This window comes from Homo sapiens, chromosome 7 (assembly GCF_000001405.40).
Source record: "Homo sapiens chromosome 7, GRCh38.p14 Primary Assembly".
Classification (NCBI taxonomy): domain Eukaryota; kingdom Metazoa; phylum Chordata; class Mammalia; order Primates; family Hominidae; genus Homo; species Homo sapiens.
The window spans coordinates 144,653,780-144,674,857 of record NC_000007.14 but is presented as its reverse complement, the minus strand read 5'-3'; the positions used below and the strand labels follow the sequence as shown (position 1 = coordinate 144,674,857).

The 21,078-nt window shown below is 37.2% G+C and overlaps 1 protein-coding gene across 43 annotated transcripts in view; it reads left to right on the top strand.

Moving 5' to 3' along the window:
* Positions 1–21,078, top strand: part of TPK1 (thiamin pyrophosphokinase 1) — a 384,497-nt gene that overhangs the window by 161,580 nt on the left and 201,839 nt on the right. For 8 of the 43 annotated variants that reach the window (NR_146936.2, NM_001350883.1, NM_001350882.1 and 5 more), the window contains one exon: positions 7,012–7,132. The exons of 33 other annotated variants lie outside the window; for them this stretch is intronic. Coding sequence is in view for 7 of the 10 variants with exons in the window: in NM_001350883.1 (NP_001337812.1) it covers positions 7,012–7,132 (121 nt within the window). In the remaining 3 variants the exon portion in view is untranslated. Of the gene's footprint in view, positions 1–7,011; positions 7,133–7,202; positions 8,239–15,834; positions 15,839–21,078 lie in introns of those variants that run through there. 2 more of the 43 variants (XM_011516047.3, XM_011516048.1) reach the window with 2 other exon arrangements.

Below are 21,078 nucleotides of genomic sequence, written 5' to 3'. Positions count from 1 at the left end.
TTTAAAGGAGCAAGACAATAAACATGAAATCAGTGTGAAGTAAGTTGGTGTCAAGTATCTGAGCATAAGTTGTGATCTTGATAACCTCCAATATATGTGGCAGTTGATTTCAGTCTCTCTATGACTAATTTTCTCATTGATTGTGTTTTTTTTTTTTTTTACTGCTTTTCAAGCCTCTCATGGAATAGTCAAAACATGTAATTTCTATATGCTTTAACATATGCAGAAAGGAAACAAATATGAACCAAAGATCTTTGGTTCAGTTGATTCTTATAAGCCTAGCCTTAGCAATGATTAGTCATTTGCTTCAGTAAATTTCCATTAAAAAGTATTTATGCAATCAAATTACCAAGCTGTGTAAGCATGTCAACATTATTAGGTCTTTGAATCAAAATGATGAAAGGTAAAAATGATTAGTGCATTTAAAATATAATTTACAACAGAAGTCTTGGTATTAAAGAACCTTACACAACAAACCGTGAAGGCATATTTATCTTAAATTATTGATTAGATTAGTTTAGTAATATATTTTAGTCTGTTCGTTATCAAATGCTATAAATCAGAGGTCTCAAAATTATCCATGCATAGCTATGAATCATTTTGGAGTGTTAGAGGAGGGAGGAATGTGTATGCGAAGGTGCTATGTTTCTCAGATCATGCATGAACCCAAAATAAATTTTCAGAGCGAGACCATTTTAAGCAGCTGCAGGAAGTCAGTTTACAACTAAATTTAATCAGAGGCATTGTTTTTTATGGCTATTCTATTTCATAAAGTATGTTCCTGACAGAACCCTTTTCCCTTCCTGCACTGTGGATGGAGTCTTCAGAAATAAATTATCTTCCAGTAATATTTTAGAGAATGCTAGATCATTTGTCAAAAGTTTTGAGTAACGTGGCTTTTTACATTTTACTTTTTTTAAAAAAAATGTTGAATTGTTTTAGTGATTGTTAATATAAGAGCTCATGTTTTCTTGTCATGTTTTAAACTTATTTTTAATAGATTTTTAGATCAATGAGTTAAGAAGTGATGGTTGAAAGTAATCACATAATACCACACCAACAAAATTGTTTCTTAAAAAGTTGTGGAATTGTCCCTGTCTGGTTTTTCATACACACTTATGTGATCGCACATACAGGTCTTCTTGCAAATACACCCTCGGATTCTTCCTGCCTGGTTTTCTTGTTATTAAGAGTTGGGATTTGTATTATTTGGCCAAGAGCAAACAGAATAACTCCAACACTAGGCAAGATGACTTATATTATTTGTTGACACGTCACTATAGGGCAGGACATTTTAGTTGATGATAGGATTGCAACTGAGCTATCCACGGTCTTCCAATTGTTGGGGAACAGAAGTGACAGCTGGAATTCAATTTAAGCAAGGGCTAGTGAGTAAATTTTATGGGAAAATATCCAAATGGCAATTACACAAAGATGAGCACTGAACTATCACTTACAATGTGGGGTTAGGAATCTGAGAGTTGTTTGAGGTGTATTCCTTAAAGACTTCAGTTTTGCTGCTGTAGCCAGCAAGGTCAAGAATATGCTGAAGAATCTCAGAGAGGGCATTTAAAATACAACAGAAGATATTACACCACACTAAGAAAAAAGTCATTGTGTGTGTGTACATTATATGCAATATACTTAACTACACTATAGTTAACTCTGGCTTTGGAAGTAGAAGAGAGCTAGAGAAAGTCAGAGGAAGGGAATAAGAGTGCATTTAGTGTATCAATGACTAGACTAAAAGGAACTAAAATAAAAAATCGTAAATATTAAAAACGCTGACTCCTCTAAATCCTGTGATTTTGAATTGCAAGGAGCACTTTTGTTGAATGAGACTAACAATGCTTCTCCTTAGACTACAGGGAAGATGGTGTTGTCCCTCTCTACAGGGCTTAGACCAGGGAACACTTTCTTTTCACCTTGGATGTCAGGTTCCATCTGTTTCTGCTGGGTGTCATGTAGGGGTGCTGACACCTGGGTGTGATACCCAGGGCTAGAGGAGCCATGTGGGGAGAAGATGTGTATGCATTAACACTGTTTAAAAGATTATTTAAAATCTTGGTGCCATCTAAATGTTGAAAAAAGCCTATTATTTTCAAGCCATCGGAGTGCCCTTGGAAATATCAAGGAGCAGGTTTTAGGTACAACTGGAGTTTTTTGTTTGTTTGTTTGTTTTTTACAGAACACTATGTAATTCATTTCTAAAAGCCTCCTGCTTTCTTCCATGTGTTATGCATCATTATCTTTCAAAACTCAGCCCATGTGTTGTGTCTCCCCAGAAATCTTAGTTTTCACAGACCCAAGTTAGGAATGAATTCTCTAAGCAGTCCTTCACTGTAATGTCACATGATGTTGAAATTATCCATGGGTGTTTCTATTTAATTGGGAAAAATTCCCTGTTCTTGTTTTACTCATCTTTGGAAATAATCCTAGCAGCTAGGATCAGGTTTGATAACTAATAGATGATAAGTAAATATTTTTAACTAATCAGCGTTACTCCTTTTAGACAATTCATACTGAAAATAATTTCCCCACATATTCAATTAAGCAAGTAAGTGACAAATCCTAAATAAACTAAGGGTGTTTCGTGGCTAGATTTCTTACCTTACCAGGTTATATTACATTATTATTCTGCATCTCTCTTACGTAATTTGTCCTTGAAGTTCTCTTATCCAGCACTTCTATTATCAAACATTTATCACAACGTATTAGAATCACCTATTTGCAAATTCCCACCAGCCTGTAACCTCAGTGAAAGCATACATTTCTCTAGCATTTTTACTGTCTTATCCCCAGCAATTAGTTCTTAACTATGTGCTTAAGAGTTACTAAAGAATGATTAGAAATACTCATCAAAACTTCATATAGCCTACTGTCACAGATTGCAGTATGAATGTGTGTTTCCGACCCAAAAAGGTAATTCTTAAGATTATTTTTATTTAAGAGGAGAATCAGAGACCTATACCAAAATCTCTTCTGTTAACAATATTGGGACTTATTTAACTTTTTGTATTTGTGTGGGTTTTTAGTTGTACAGAACAAGAACTCTGGCCAACGTAAACAAAAATCAAACATGATATAATTAATAGAGAAAGTGGGAAGGCTGGGGGAATATGCAGGAATTGGGAGGCTTGGGAAACATTTAGGAATCAAGGGAAGCTGGAAGCCAGATCCACAGCTATGCTTGCACTCTAAGAACAAGTTAGGACTTGCACTTAGCCACCTGTGAGCCGGCCACTGGGTGTACTACAGGTGAATTCCTGTGTCTCTTTTCTAGTGTAATATGGTGTTCAACTGAGTTGAGGTGGTTCTGAGAGAATATCTGCCCATGTCCTTGTTTCTATTGGTTGTGTTTGTTTCTGGAGTGGGATTTGCCTCCGGTCAAGACTGAGACCATGCTAGTTTCTGCACGCCTAAGTGGGACCAGCCAACTATAAATACAAACAAAAAAAAAAACAAAAAGAATCCTCATGCGTATACATCAACAGCATCTTTTCTCTGCTGCCTGTGCTGTCTTCTTGCCCTAGGATAGTCTAATGGTCTTTATTAATCTCCTCCTTACTTCTGCCTCCCCACACACGTCCCTAACTTACTGGGGTATAAAATGCCCCTGGTTGGGAACTGTTTTTATTCCTCACTATGTAATGACAGTGAAAGGGAATGAAATGGTCATCTGTCATGCAAATAAGTGACAAAAATGCCTCTTGTGTATTCTGAGAAATTTAATAACGTTCTTTGCAAATTTAAAAAAGTATGTAGGAAGTATAATTCCTCTTTAGTTTTATAAAATTTTTTTTAATCAAAAGATTCTTGTTTTCTGAATTCATGTTACATTTGTTTCCAAGTAAACTTTAAAATTTTACTCTTATGATTCATAAATTTCCAGGGAGAGGGTTGTAAATTTTTTTTAGATATCTTTTGCATTTAAAAATATTTCCCCCCTCTTAATGAAATATTACCAAGACAAGCTTATATTTTACAACATAGAGCTTTCTTTAGTTGGTTTGGGTCTTTGTGACAACAAAGTGAGAGAATAACATTATTTTTCTAATTTGTAATATCTAAAAAGGTTTTATTACTTAAAGGTAAGGCTTTAATTTAAATATACAATAATAATAAGTTTTTACAAAATTTCCCAATATGAAAATTTCCCAGATTTAGTTCTTTTGTTAAAAAATATTTAAGGCGAGAAATAATTAAGAAAAAAATTGCTTTGTGGCTTCCAGCACAGTAGTTAAAAGGGCAGCTGAAGCTTAGGAGCTTAGTATGCAGTTTTCTTTGTAGAACTAGCAGCATTTTTTTTCCACTTCATGCAAAATTCACTTATTTATCACTAGCGGCCTCTAGTGTATATTCAATTTTTTTTTCTGCTCGACTATACATTAGTTGGTTATTAGTAACTGGAGAGCTGTTCCATGTGTTAGGAACAAGAAAAACAACTCCAGTTTGTGTCATCTTGGCATTTTATCAGTCAGTAAAAAGAACATTTTTGCATAATAGTGTGGTCTTATGATTCCTATTAGCAGTAATAGGGCTTTCCCAGCGACTTTTCTCCATGTGGCAGTTGCTTGCCAAAGCTTAATTCTGATGTGGGAGGAGAGAGTTAGTGATTATGCATTACACTGATGCCCTCTAATGCTTTTAATAGGATGCAATCAAGTAAGAATACAGGAGGCAAGGATTATCAAAGTGAGATTTTAGCCAAATTGTGTGACAGAAATCTGAACTGAACTTATTTATTTTAATTGAGCTTATTTGTTCAATTTTAAATAAAACCGTATTCAAGTAATTTTTGATGCAGTCATAATTACAAAATATATAAAGATAAATTAAACACCTCGAATTTGTATCATTTAGTATTTACCTTTCTTTTAAACTTTATATATTTTAAAAGGCAAATTCTCTGCTATCGCCTCTAACTTTTCCCCCACCTATGGACATAGGATTATTATAATGAATTTGGGGAATAGAGGAAGACATAAAGAAAAAAGTTAAAATAACCTAAAATCCCACTTCTATAGATAACGTCTGTTAATATTTTTACATATATAATTTTTTTCAATTTTACATTTTTGTATGTTTATTGCTCTGTGTATGTATGTGTGTACATGTAATGAAATACAGATTTTTATCTATATATTGCTTTATATCATGCCTGTTTTTAACATTATATTATGAACATGCTACCAAGTCATTATATATAAATTTTGTTACATTTTTATCTCTCAACCATTCTCCATATATCAGAAAGTTATGTAGCTCATAAGTTGTGTGTTTTTTTTTTTTTTGAGACAGAGTCTCACTTTGTCACCCAGGCTGGAGTGCAGTGGCGCAATCTTGGCTCACTACAACCTCTGCCTCCCGGGTTCAAATGATTCTCCTGCCTCAGCCTCCTAAGTAGCTGGGACTATAGACGTGCGCCACCACGCCCGGCTAATTTTTGTATTTTTAGTAGAGACGGGGTTTCGCCAGGCTGGTCTCAAACTCCTGACCTTAGGTGATCCACCCACTTTGGCCTCCCAAAGTGCTGGGATTACAGGCGTAAGCCACTGCGCCCAGACAGCTTATAAGTTTTTTATAAGTAAATCTTTGGTAAATAAAACTTTGTTAAGTATTATAAAAACATTAAGTAGTATTATAAGTGTATGAGTTTGTGACACTTACAGTAGTTTCACAGACGTTAAGACATGCTCCAGAAGTTATAAATTTTAAAAAATGTATTTAAGTCTAAGTTGACAACTTGCTTTCCAGAATATTGTTGCTTAAGTTAACCTTCATCAACAGTATAAGACAATTTACATTTCTCTCTGCTCTTGCCAGATTTATTAACTTAAGTTTTTTTGATATATTATGTAGGAAATCATATTCCATTATTATTTTAGCATATTTTAATTATGGAGTCATTCTATATAACAGGCATTATTGTAGTCACCTATGATGCAGCGGAGAGCAAAATACTTGACTTCATTGACCTCCCATAGAGGAAATAAGCAAGACAAATAATTAAAATATTAAGTATATTACTAGTGAGAAGGAGAATAATAACGCAGGAGAAGAGGTAGCATGCTTTGCAGTAGGTTGTTAGCAGTTAAAGTGAGGGAGAGCCTCACTGAGCAGGTGACTTCTGAGTTAAGACCTGCAGGGGGTGGAGAAGCAAGCCATTTGCTCAGCCAAAGGAAGAACCTTCCAGGAAGTGGGGATGCTTGTGCAGAGGCCCTGAGACATGAGAATGATATCAGTTAGCTTTTGCTGTATCATAAGCTACCCCCAAAATTAATGGCTTTAAACACTGATTTATTTATTTACTCACAAGTCTAAGGTCAGCTAGGCAGATCTTGTGGGCTCATTCATGTGCCAGTTACGTGGGTTGGTAAAGGAAAACTGTTCCTGTACTCACAACACTTCTGCCACTAAACATCTGGGTTTTATACATCAAACAATTTGCCAGTTGTCTGTGGCCACCAACTGGGTGTCCGACAATTTAATTCAATCTGACATTATTCAGAGTAAGCACAGACCACCACCCTCCAACACACACACAGGTAAAGGACTTAGTCCTACTAGATTGCCATGCACTTTAAATGCCAGTTGCAACTAGTGGGTCCCCAGAACTCCCTCCTCGTGTTTGGTAATTTGCTATAATGGCTCACAGAACTCAGGGAAACACTTATGTTTACAATTTATTATAAAAGGATGTTATAAAGGATGAATGTGAACAGCCAGCTGATGTGGTACAGAGGGTGGGATCTGGAGAAGTCCTAAGGCAGGAGCTTCTGTCCCCCTTGGCTTTGGGATACACTACCCTCCCGGCATGTGGATATGTTCCCCAACCTGAAAGCTCTCTGAACCACATTGTTTAGGGTTTTTAAATGGGGGTTCTGTTACATGGGCATGATTGATTACATCATTGGCCATCGGTGATTAGCATAATCTGTAGCTCCACTGGGAGTGGTGGGTATGAACGTTCCACACTCTGATCATGCCTTTGTCTTTCTTGGGTATCAGCCTCCAACTTGAAACTCTCCTCGAGGCCCCCAGCCACCAGTCATCTCATCAGGACACCGAAAGACACCCATTACTGTGGAGCTTCCAAGGGTCTTGGCAACTCTTTTATCGGAAACGAGAGGTGAAGACCAAATGTATATTTCCTCTTATATCATGATATCACAGTTGGGTAGGCAGTTTTGTTGATGATGTCAGCATGTAGAAAGGACCCACATGTTTAGAGGTTGGATGTCTGTAAGCTGTACCTGACTCCAGTCTCATCCTCCATCCATCAGGCATGCTCAGAATTACTCTCATGGTAACAGGGGAGGGTTCCAAGAGAGCAAAGGGAAGGCTGCAGCTCCACTTGAAGCCTCTATTCCTAACTGCCATGCTGTCACTTCTACTGCATTTTTTAAGTGAAAGCAGGTTTCAAGGCTAATACAAATTATTGAGGTGGGGAAAGGGATGCATATTAATAGCTTGTGATGAAACAGTCTGGAAAGTCACATTATAAAGGGGTATAGATTGGGAGGAGGAAATAATTATGGATAATTGTGCAAACAATCTGCAAGTGGAGATAATGAGGGGAACTTACTAGGAAGGAGAGTGATCAGAAAGATAACAGGGTAGATCTTAAAGTTCCTTTGTAGATAGTATTGATGATTTACTATGAATGAGATGGGAAGTCACTGGAAGGTTTTCAGCAGAGGAATGCCATCAGCTGTTTTTTCAGGATTGTACCACGGAGGATGCAAAGAAAGAGCCAGATTGAGAATGTATTTTCCCCTATAGAACTGGCTGACAAATCAGTTACTAGGTGCAAGAAAGAAAAGTGAAGGATGACTCCAAGAAAAGTCAAGGATTTTGAACTAAACAACTAGAAAAGAATGATTTTTCCTTAGATTGGGGAGATTGTAAGAGTAGTGGTTACAGTGGGGGAAAGAGAAGAGATTCAGTGATTTAAGTTTGAGTTATTTATCCACCTCACATTGAGTAGGTTGTTGGATACAGAGTCATCAGTATATAGAAAGCCATATAAGGCCATGAGACAGTGAAAATAACCTAATGACTGCAGACAGTACAGATACTGAGCTGTGGAATACTCCAGTGTTAAAAATTCCGAGGGACAAAGCAGGAGTAACCCATGAGTTAGGGGACAACCAGGAAACTATGGTCATGGTCCTTAAATGATGAAAGAAAATCAAGGAATACAGAGTGATCATTTGTGTTATATATATCTGATGGGTAAAGTAACATAGGATAATTGACCATTAGATTTAGCAATATGGAAGTCTTTGGCATTGGAAAATATGTGTGTGTGTGTGTGTGTGTGTGTGTATGTGTGTGTGTATGATTAGAGATTATATATCTGCTATTTAAATTCCTTCCCTTTTGTGTCATGTCTTTTTTCTATTTCATTTTTCCTATATGATTTTATTTTCATTTTATAAGCTATTGGGATCAACTCTGTTTGAACAAGGATACTCACCCTTTGTCTTTTGTATTTCTTTTAAATGTTTTTCCTAATATTCTTTTTAATTTTAATAATAGTCATCTCATGATTTTATGATTTCTGGGTGGCCTGTACCCAAGCCATTATCATCTGGCTGCATTCTTTTGGATTCCTATAATGCAGAGATCAGTATTAAATACCGTAGAGAACCACCCATGCTTTAGTCTCTGTCTTTTAGGACAGTGACTCATACATCTATATAATGGATGGCAGCAGCAAGATAAAAACAGAAACTATCCAAGGTAGAAAATACAGTACTTACTTCACCAAGAAAGTGTATGCCATAAGAAATTTCTTTTTCGTGTGTTTGTGTCATTTTCTTAAGTAAGGTTTTAGTTCCTGCTGTGAGGGAAGCTGTATTGGAAAGGCAGAATCAAGATGAAAAACACTCTACTAGCAGAAACTGTAGCTAGGCAGCTTATTACTCTTTGCTTTGGAAAACTTGGGAGGATCAGACAACCTATTAGTGACCCTAATGGCATTAATCACTAGCTGTATTTATTGAATTCTGTGGATTATGTCTCAGCTGAATCACAGAGAGAAGCATAAAGCAAACAAATTACACAAAGTAATTCACTATCATTGAGCTAGCTTTTTATATTTGTTAAGGTGAAGAATTGGCATTAACCTATAAATATACTTTGGGACTCTTTCATGTTTGTAAATCAGAAAAGATGAAACCTTCCACTCTGGACTACATAGGGGTTAGCATGAGTCTTCTAAATGTATATATCGCATTTTCTGGCACTACCTTACCCTACTGCCGCTACCACGTTCTTCTAGGAAAATAACTCCGTAGGTTAGTTTCTATTAAAATAACCTTTCATTCTTCTCACCCCTTCTGGCCTCTTTCGGAAAACAAATAATTACAACAAATGACTGAAGAGGAAGTGACCTGATGTTCAGAGCCAGAGGAAATGTTTACTTGTACAACTTTTATTGAATACGTTAATATTATACAAAGCTCTATTTTGGGGCTAAGAGATCCTGCAAAGTCACTCATTCTTTAAAAATTGTAGCATGGCTAGCCACATGTAAATACAAGTGATTGAATGAGAAGTCAGCTATGTCTTAGTCTGATTGGGCTGTTATTTTTTTTTTCTTCAACTTTTATTTTAAGTTCAGGGATTCATGTGCAGGATGTGCAGGTTTGTTATATAGGTAAACGTGTGCCATGGTGGTTTGCTGCACAGATCATCCCATCACCTAGGTATTAAGCCCAGCATCCATTAGCTATTCTTCCTGATGCTCTCCCTCCCCTCCCCTCAACAACAGGCTCCAGTGTGTGTTGTTCCCTACCATGTGTCCATATGTTCTCATCACTCAGCTCCCACTTAAAAGTGAGAGTGTGCGGTGTTTGATTTTCTGTTCCTGTGTTAGTTTGCTGAGGATAATGGTTTCCAACCCCATCCATGTCCCTGCAAAGGACATGAGGACATGGTCTCGTTCCTTTTTATGGCTGCATAGTATTCCATGGTGTATATGTACCACATTTTCTTTATCCAGTCTATCATTGATGGGCATTTAGGTTGATTCCATGTCTTTGCTATTGTAAATAGTGCTGCAGTGAACATATGTGTGCATGTATCTTTATAATAGAACCATTTATATGTCTTTGGATATATACCTAATAATGGAATTGCTAGGTCAAATGGTATTTCTTCCTCTAGGTCTTTGAAGTATGGCCACACTGTCTTCCACAATGGTTGAACTAATTTACACACCCACCAACAGTGCATTCCTTTTTCTCCTTGACCTCATGAGCATCTGTTGTTTTTTCACTTTTTAGTAATAGCCATTCTGACTGGCACGAGATGGTAAGATGGTATCTCTGTGGTTTTGATTTGCATTTCTCTAATGACCAGTGATGTTGAGCTCTTTTTCATTTGTTGGCCATATGTATGTCTTGTTTTGAGAAGTGTCTGTTGATGTACTTTGCCCCCTTTTTTTTTTTTTTTTTTTTTTTTTTTTTTTGAGACGGAGTCTCGCTCTGTCGCCCAGGCTGGAGTGCAGTGGCGGGATCTCGGCTCACTGCAAGCTCCGCCTCCCGGGTTCACGCCATTCTCCTGCCTCAGCCTCCCAAGTAGCTGGGACTACAGGCGCCCGCCACTACGCCCGGCTAATTTTTTGTATTTTTAGTAGAGACGGGGTTTCACCGTTTTAGCCGGGATGGTCTCGATCTCCTGACCTCGTGATCCGCCCGCCTCGGCCTCCCAAAGTGCTGGGATTACAGGCGTGAGCCACCGCGCCCGGCCCTTTGCCCACTTTTTAATGGGGTTGTTTTTTTTTTTCTTGTAAATTTGTTTAAGTTCTTTGTAGACTCTGGATATTAGACCTTTGTCAGATGAATCGATTGCAAAAATTCTCTCCTATTCTGTAGGTTGTCTGTTCACTCTTATGAGCAGTTGTGAATGGCAGCTTATTGATGATTTGCTTGTCTGCTTGCTGTTATTGGTTTATAGGAATGCTAGCAATTTTTGCCTGAGACTTTACTAAAGTTGCTTATCAGCTTAAGAAGCTTTTGGGCTGAGACAATGGGGTTTTCCAGCTATTACAACCACTGTTTTTTTTTTCTGTTTTTCACTTGATTGGTGAATTTTCCTTCATCCCTTTATTTTGAGTCTATGTGTGTCTTTGCCCATGAGATGGATCTCTTAAAGATAGCATACCACTGTTTCTTGGCTCTTTGTCCAGCTTGCCATTCTGTGTCTTTTAATTGGGGCATTCAGCCCACTTACATTGCTGAAAACTCAGAAAGCCAGAGTGCCTCGTTTCTTCCAAATGACTGCAACACCCCTCTAACAAGGGCACAGAACTGAGCTGAGGCTGAGATGGCTGAGTTGACAGAACTAGGCTTCAGAAGGTGGGTAATAATGAACTTCACCGAGCTAAAGGAGCATGTTGTAACCCAATGTAAAGAAGCTAAGAATGATGATAAAAACAATACAGTAGCTGATAGCCAGTTTAGAGAGAAACATAACCAACCTGATGGGGCTGAAAAACACAACATGAGAAATTCACAACGTAATCACAAATATCAATAGTGGAATACACCAAGCAGAGGAAAGAATTTCAGAACTTGAAGACTATCTTACTTAAATAAGATAGGCAGACAAGAATAGAGAAAAAAGAATGAAAGGAATGAACGAAACCTCTGAGAAATATGGGATTATGTAAAGAGACTGAACCTATGACTGAGGTACCCAAAAGAGACAGGGAGAATGGAACCAAGTTGGAAAACACACTTCAGGATATCATCCAGGAGAACTTCCCAAACTAGCAAGATAGGCCAACATTCAAATTCTTGAAATGCAGAGAATCCCAATAAGGTGCTCCATGGGAAAATCTACCACAAGATGCATAATCATCAGATTCTCCACCATCAGAATGAAAGAAAAAATGTTTAGGGCAGCCAGAGAGAAAGGCCATACCGCCTACAAAGGGAAGCCCGTCAGGCTAACAGCAGACCTTTCAGCAGAAACTCTGCAAGCCAGAAGAGATTGGGGGCCAATATTCAACATTCTTAAAGAAAAGAATTTCCAACCCAGAATTTCATATCTGGCCAAACTAAGCTTCATAAGCGACGGAGAAATAAAATCCTTTTCAAATAGGCAAATGCTGAGGGAATTCGTCACCACCAGGCCTTGCAAGAGCTCTTGAAGCAAGCACTAAATATGGTCCTTTTCAGGACCCTGAAATATTTGTAGTGGCATTACCAGCCACTACAAAAACACATTGAAGTACAGACCAGTGACACTATGAAGCAACCACGTAAATATGTCTGCAGAATAACCAGCTAGCATCATAATGACAGGATCAAATTCACACATAACAATACTGACCTTAAGTGATTGGGCTGTTGTAACAAAATATTATAAACAGTGTGGTTTATAAACAACAGAAGCTTATTTCTCACAGTTCTGGAGGCTGCAGTGTCCAAGATCATCGCACTAGCAGCTTCTGTGTCTGGTGGGGGACTGTTTTCTGGTTCATAAATGGTATCTTCTCACTTTGTCCCCACATAGTGGAAGGGGCAGACCGCCTCAGGCCTCTTTTATAAAGACACTAATCTCACCTAATCCTCCCCCAAAGGCCTTACCTCTTGATACCATCACATCGAGAATTAGGTTTCAACATACGAATTTTGGCGGGGGGAGGCATAGATATTCAGAACATAGCAAGCTGTGAGCTAAGAAATGAAGTGGCCTTCATGGTCTTCCTTGCTCCTCCCTCATTTCATACCATTTCTTTTACAAACACTTTTGTCTTCCTACTTTTCTTTCTATTCCCTGAATCTGGGTATTATTTTTCTCTCTCACCCTCTTGCCATGGCTTCATTTATTTATTTGGACTTTTCTTGTCCTATCAATTACTAGGAAGCCTTTCCTTCCTTTTCTCTTACTAGCTTGCTCCCCCAAGCCTGGCACTTCTTGTGTGCCACTGTAGCACTCTGTCAATTACTTATAGTGTCAGTTCCATGATGGCCTGGCTTGTCTATCCCTACTCTTAGACTTCAAACCTGTTGGGACTGTGACAACTATTGTATCAGTAGTCTAGTATATATAAAATATATATTTAATAAATATTTGATGAATTTGATTAAGTATCCTATAGATGGAGGATTCACCAGTGTGTAGTTTTGGCTCTGGCCTCTCCTGAGCTTTCCTTCTGCGTTTGCAACTTTTAGCTGAACTTGGACCCTGAAATATTCTACAATCTCAAACTCTGTCTAAAATATTGTTCTTATTCTTGTTATTTACAAGACTCACATATTGGTTTTTTTTATTTTAAAATTAAGATTGTATACTGTTTACATAAGAGAATGTTGAGAAATATGATTAGAAAGGTTGATTGAATCAGCTTATAGAATGCCATAGTGACTTGCCTATCTTATAGGAATAGATGGTGGTGGCTTGTTAGAAGAGTTTTATATTAAATCATTCTGCTTGCCGTGTGTTTAGATGGGCAGCAGTAAGCCTTAATTAAGTAAATGGCAACCCACTTTTCTTTTTCTCAGCATCTTTCAGGAACGATGAAAGAGAATAAAATGACTATAGTCCATGTGCTTCAGTGTAATTATAAATTTTGCTTTTTGGAATCACATCATATAACACATGTGATTTAGTACAGAAACTATCTTCACAGAAACTCCTATTTAGTTCTTGCCGTATTAATCACCTCAGAGAAAATTTGCTAGGTTATATGTAGTACATAAAAATTAATGTATTGTTTATTGTATCTCATATGTAGTACCTAATTCAATTGTATACAATTATGTGCACACAGTTTTTGCTCTTCATGTATGTATTGTTAATATTCTATAAGTTTTATTTCCTTTGTCCTCTTTTCTTAGCGATTTCATCTTTCTTTTTCTAGAGCAAAGGAGACAGTACATTTTGGGCAAAAAGTTGATAGTAAATTTTAAACTGCTTTTCATCAAAAACCTTTTTTACTTTAGGTTTGCTATTGACTTTACCTTTTTCTTCCTTATATCTCATCCTTCCTTTTCTCCAACTAGACAGGTCGTTAAAAATGTAAACTGGTTCTCTAGACTGGACATAATCTCATTTCCAGAAGCTGCTGGACACTTATATAGAGTTTTCTGAACCTTGAAATCCTAGCAAAGCCATAAAAGCAGACAAGATATTTTCTTTCCTATAGGGAAAATCTGTCATCATGAGTCGTGAAAGTTACTGACAACACATTCTACCACCTAAATGTATAATACTAAACTGCTAGCATTGGAGATACAGTGAAATCATTTCTGATAAATCATACTAAGCCTAATATAATAGTATCTTAGCAAATGTTACACTGAATATTAAATTTTTTAATTAAATTTGTGATTATGAAATTACTGTTTTATATTAAGAATAATCTTTATGTAACATTTTAGGTACTGATTAAAATTTGAAATTATAATGTAAGGCAATAATAAAGTGACTTTTTAAAATGTATCTTTTTCAAAATTTGTGTGTGCCTGAACTATAAAATATTTCAAAATTAGCTGTATATTCATTAAATATAATTATGAATAAATACTAAATATAAGATCTAACTAAATATATAATCTAGTGCGACAACTTAAACTAGTGTAAATAAGTAGGATACAATATGATTAGGAAAATTAAAATTTTTAACTTGCTTTAATATAATTGGTTTCAATTAATATCAGTATTATTGTGTACAGTAAATCCTTAACATTGTTGATAGTTTTTTAGAAACTGATTTTAACCAAAATGACATAAAAGAAAACCCATTTTACCCTAGGCTAATTGGTATCAGCAAGAGTTAAGTTCCTACAGCATGTTTCTTGTCACAAAAACATCACCAAACTTCTGAATAAAGACCAAACACTTCTAGTATTTAACACTGAAATAAATATGAGCTATATGTACATTTAAGAAAAATCAATAAAAATCACTTCTCAGCCTTTTAGCTAAGATCAAGTGAAGAAAGATCAATGAAAACAACAAGCAAGATAATTATTTACCAGCTTATTTCAGTTCAGGGTGATGGGCAGTTGGAGCTTTTCTGGGCAGCTCAGGGGACAAAGAGGGAACTGATCCAGGACAGGACACATTCTACTCTGAGGCACACTTACACACACACACACACACTCACTCTCACTTTCACAGTGGGACTGTGTAGACAGCCAGTTCACCGAAAGTGCACATCTTTGGGATGTAGGTAGAAACCAGAGTACCTAGAGAAAGCCCACATAGATGTGGTGAGATCATGCAGACCCTATACATTTAATGGCCCTAGCCAGGTTTTTTCCTCATCAACCTTATAAGGAAATGACCTTGAATGAAAGGACGTTATTCAAGGATCTTGATACTGTTTGGCTCTGTGTCATTACGCAAATCTCACCTCGAGTTGTAATCCCCATAATCCCCACGTGTCAAGGGTGGGACCAGGAGGAGGTAATTGGACCGTGGGGGCGGTTCCCCCGTGCTGTTCCTGTGATAGTGAGTGAGTCTCACGGGATCTGATGGTTTAATAAGCATCTGTCATTTCCCTTGCTTGTTCTAACTCCATCCTGCCACCCTGTGAAGAAGGTGCCTGTTTCTCCTTTGCCTTCTGCCATGATTGTAAGTTTCCTGAGGACTCTCCAGCAATACGGAACTGTGAGTCAATTAAACCTCTTTCCTTTATAAATTACCCAGTCTCGGATATTTCTTCATAGCAGTGTGAGAATGGACTAATACAGGCCTGCTTTATATAAATGGAGGTTTTAAAGCCTCAACTAATTCTGATAGCAGTCATAGTCCATTCTAGAGAGTACTAATTACAGTTGATTACTTTGAAGAAGGGAGAAAAGAGAGAAAGGTATGTGTTAGAGAATATACTTGTTATGATTTCAACCCTCTTAAATCGATTGAATCTTGTTTTATGGCCTAAAACAGGGGTTGGCAAACTACTCTAAACAGAGTTTTCCTGGAGCACAGCCATGCCTATTATCTTCTTATTTTCTACGGCTGCTATCATGCTGCCGTGGCAGAGTTAAGTAGTTGTGACAGAGACCTTATAGCCCGTAGATCCTAAAATATTGACTGTCTTGCTCTTTAAGAAAAAAATTATAAGGCCTGGTGCGGTGGCTTATGCCTGTAATCCCAGCACTTTGGGAGGCTGAGGCGGGCCAGAGGTCAGGAGTTGGAAACCAGCCTGACCAACATGGACCCTGTCTCTACTAAAAATACAAAATTAGCCGGGTGTGGTGGCACATGCCTGTGATCCCAGCTACTCGGAAGGCTGAGGCAGGAGAATCGCTTGAACCTGGGAGGCAGAGGTTGCTGCGAGCCGAGATCGCACCATTGCACTCCAGCCTGGGCAGCAAGAGTGAAATTCCGTTTCAAAAAAATTTTTTAAAATGTTGCTCCCTGGCCTAGAATAGTGTCTAGTTTGAAGAATGTTTCATGTGCAAGTTAAAGAGAATGTATATATCTGTTGGTGGTGGCTGGAATATTCTAGAAATACCAGTTAGATGAAGCTGTCTGATAACGTTTTTCTTACTACTTTTTAACAGCTTTATTCAGTTATAACCATGTTCTAAATAATTTACCCATTTAAAGTCTACAGTCCAGAGGTTTTAGTGTTCATAGATAGCTGCAACCATCTCCATTTTCGGTAGTGGCAAGCATGCGGAGCAACAGGAACTCTCTTTCATTGCTGCCAATTCTGAACGTTTTTACCACCTCAAAAAGAAACCTGTACCCTTCGACTATCATCCTCTTTCTTTCCCCCAGCCCTGACAACCACTAATCTACTTTTTGTCCCTTTAGGTTTTCCTCTTTGGTATTTGCAAATGGAAGGAATCATATGTTATGTGGACTTTTGTGCCTGGCTTCTTTCACTTGGCATAATGTTTTCAAGGTTCCTCCAAGTTGTAGTGTATAAGATTTTGTATGCACATGTTTTCATTTCTCTCTATATCTAGTATACACCTAGGAATAAAATTGCCATATGTTTTTATTGTAACTCCATGTTTAATCATTTATTGCCAGATTGTTTTCTCCTCTATTCAGATCCATTGCCCATTCTGTTAAGACTATTTTTTAAGAGCAGTTTTTAGGCTCACAGGAAAATTGAGGAAAGGATACAAAGACAGCCAAGATAGCACATATCCCCACACATTGCTAGTTTCCCCGTTATCAACATCCCTCACCAGAGTGATAGAATTTTTTTTTACAATTGAGGAACCAACATTGACACATTATTGTCACCCAAAGTCTGTAGTTTATGTTAGGGTTCACAATTGGTGTTTTACATTGCATAGATTTGGACAAATGTGTGACATGTATCCACCATTATAGAATCATACAGTAATCACTGCCCAGAGCTGTCATTTTTCCGCTGTCTGAATTTCTACTTCTTTTGTGTGGCTTTTCTAAGTGGCTGCAGTGAGAGGTTAATTCCCATTGCAGGGGTGGAAGTAGCAGTCTGTATGTTTTAATTTCCTACTAACCCATAAAATTTACATTGCTTATGCTGATTTCTCAGTTATGGAATTGAATATTAAATTTGTTTGTTTACTAACTAGAATGAAATATGCTGTCTAGAAGCCTCATGTGATTTTGTGATGGTGCCTCCCTTCCCCACTTCTCCATTCATAAAAACAAACCACGAACCTAGCTTCACGAGAGAGTGTGCTTGGGGACCTGTCACTTGTGCTGTGGAGCAACTTTGCATTGCCCTCTTGCTGCGGCTTGATGACTGTGCACCTCTGTTGGGCATGCAAGCAAAGCAGATTACAGACAAGGGCCAGGATTTTCGAAAAAGTAAAACTGCATCCTGTGAAGGAGGTGGAGCAGGATTATTTCTCTGTGCCGGTCAAGGGCATATGTTGTTCAATGAAGAAAGCAGGAGGAGAAGGAGAGAAGACCTTTTGAATCTGTGTGACACCAATGCAGGTGGCTTCATATCACTCAGTCCTGGCTTTCTACCATAAAATTCAGATGATAAACATCAGCCTCATGGGAGTGTTATGGAAATTAGCTAAAATTATATTGATTAATAAACATAAAATGTATGAATAAAATACAGAGACTGGCATAGAACAAATATTCAAAAAAATGTGTCCTGGAAGGTTTTCTCTAGGGTAAGAGCCCTCAAGTCTTCTTCTTTTTGGCAGCTTTTTCTGTGTTTCCTTCTTTGTCTCAATGAAGAGGCCTTCTGCAAAATTATATATGTTTTCTTGTCATTGATCTATCCTCATTCTGTTCCCCAATCATTATTTTAACTAGGTGATATGGAGATTATATTTCATTTGTTAATGTTTTTGTTACTGTTTTTTCCCTCTGGATGTCATTAGCATATAAAGACATCTTTAAATAATTATTTTGGGAAACAATGTTATTTTCTGCCTTGTGATGAATCCTGGGCTAGACAGTTTGAGACGATGCGATCAATTATTCTAAGAGATAAAACACTGTCTTCTTTGGGTAACTTAACTAAAGTCATTTATAACAACCTCAGTGGCTGCTAAGTACTATTTAATATTCTTGTAATCAGAGTCTAAGCGTTTTCAGTTAATTTTTCATTTTCCTTCACATTTTTATTTCCTTTCACAAGTGGCATTATTAATTTTCTTTTAGCTTATTAAATTAAGGTATGCTTTATAAAATTTTTCAAAGAAAAATTAATCCCATCCCCTGAGATAATCAGTGTGAATAGCTTGAATCATTCACTTCCATAACTTCCTTTGTGTCTATACAAAAATGCACAAATATATTTAGGCTTTTTTTACTTAGTAACATGTGATGGGCATTCCCTCTAGAACAGTAGACAGTGGTTAGCTCATCTAAAAGCTGCCTACTTTCCCTAACAGGTTACATTATGTTTTATTCCACCTTCCCTATATTGTTGAACATTCCATTTTTTTCTCTCCTTGTTATTTCCCTTGCTTTATTGTGCAGATATCCTAGGTACTGTTAAAACAAAAACAAAAACAAACAAAAAAGCCAGGATGGATTCCTAAAGTGGGATTGCCTGTTTGCAGGCAGTATCCTAGTCACGACTTCACTAGTCTTGTGTTTGCGCCTATTTTCACTCAGCCTTGTCAATACCCACTTCACTTTTCTTAATTTTTAAGTTTTTGTGTAAAAGAAAGTACTCAATTTTTGCTTCAAAATTTATTCCCTTGATAATTATTTTAGATTTACCATGTTTTCATATACTTACTGCTTGTGTGAATAGGCTTTGGCACTTTTTCTATTTGTATCTTTTTCCTTTACCACTTTGGGGTGCTCTTCGTGTGTTGGGGACAGAAATTCTTATGGGTTATATATTTTGCATATGTAAAAGTTATAATTTGACCTTTTTATTAACATATTGTTACATTTTTACATAATCTGTCAACTTATTTATTGTTGTGTTTTCTGTCTCTTACCCAAATTTACACAAATATTTAAATATCTTTTGGCACTATTATTATATTTAGAGACTTATTTATTGCAAGCAGTTGAACTGATTGTGTTTATAAACATAGTCAAAATGTGGTAACGTTTTTGTGGATTATATTTTGTGTCACTCTTGTTCCCCCCCACCAAATTTATATGATTTTACAGAGAATGTTAGCACAAATCTTTAAATGATTCATTCCTTCTTTTATCAGACTGAATACTACTTTCTTTCTATGTCTGTATTCATGCTCTTCAACAATATTCCCAAATTTTCTTCTCCTAACATAGTCTGTCCTCAAGATCCTGTCCTTCCTTCTGGTACAACTAGCACAAATCCTTTTTCTCTTGTGCCTCAGGGAAACCTTTATAAACTATATAGGTTGACCAAATTAGTGGTGATTAATAAAATCAGCAGGAAAGAGTACATTTATGCAGAGAACGTTCTCTACCAAAAACATCGTTGTTCTGTTTCGTAAATGCATATATGTGGGAGGCTGTATACTTAGCCATTAAAGAACAGAGAGTGAACTGCCTGGGTTTGAGTTCTGGCTCTAACTCTTATTAGCCTTATTATCTAGGGCAAACTACTTAACTTCACTTGCAATAATTTTTATTTGAACTGAATAGCTTAAACTGTGCTTACTGTGTGCCAGGCATTTTCCAAGTGCTTTATATATATTAACTCCTAATCCTCACAAGCACTCTAAATTATCCTCATTTTATACATGGAGACATGAGGTTCAGAAAAAGCTTAAATAATCTGCACAAGCTAGAAAGTGGGGGGAGGGGCAGTTGTAATCGTAAGTGCCTAATAAATGTTTCTTTCCTCATTCTTCTTTTCTGCTCCCCTCTTGCCCTTTCTTTCCTCTCCTGGCTTTTCTCTTTGTACCATTTTCCACCTTCTCCTATCTCCTCTTCCCCCACTTCACTCTTTTCCCCCTCTTCACCCTTCTTTCCTTTTCTCCTTGTTCCTCCTACTTCCTCTTCTCTCTCTTTCGCCCCCCGCCCCCCATTTTCTCCCTCTTCCCTTCGTTCTCCTTCTCTACCTCGTCATCTTATTATATCATTTTCAGCGTCAGTGCCCTTTATCCTTTGGGGCGTACCAAGATCAATCAGAGACACATCCTGCTTCAGAGGCCTTACCATCTATTAGTAGCTAAAAGACAAACAACTTGCTTAAAATGAAATGGAAAGTAAGAGATTTTAGTGCCATTCAAGTTTTAAGGGAATAAGTTTGTCTTTCCTGGGGGCAAAACAAAAACAAAACAAAAAAAAACCCGGCTTTATGGAGGGACAGTTTCCTTTAGTGGTATCAGGAAAGGCCCTGTAAAGGCAGTAGTTATATTCTATCTACTCCATTGTATTTAGAATATTTCCTAAATTTATCAGCCTCCCTCTTGATTATTACATGTGATGGATCTTAAGTTCACTAATTGATCTCAGTACTTTTTGGACTCTTACTTTATCATGAATGAGTGACCAGTATGGAAAGAGTTAAAATGAAAACGTTTAAGGAGTCTGGGCCATTTGTGGAGAGTTTGGGACACCTTTCAGTACTAACAAGTCAGTGCCCATAGATTGAGGATAGCAAAGAAAAGATAGATCGGTGTGTCTAAGTCGACAGTAGGTAGAAACATGGTCAGTGGCTACACAAATCCACATACCCAC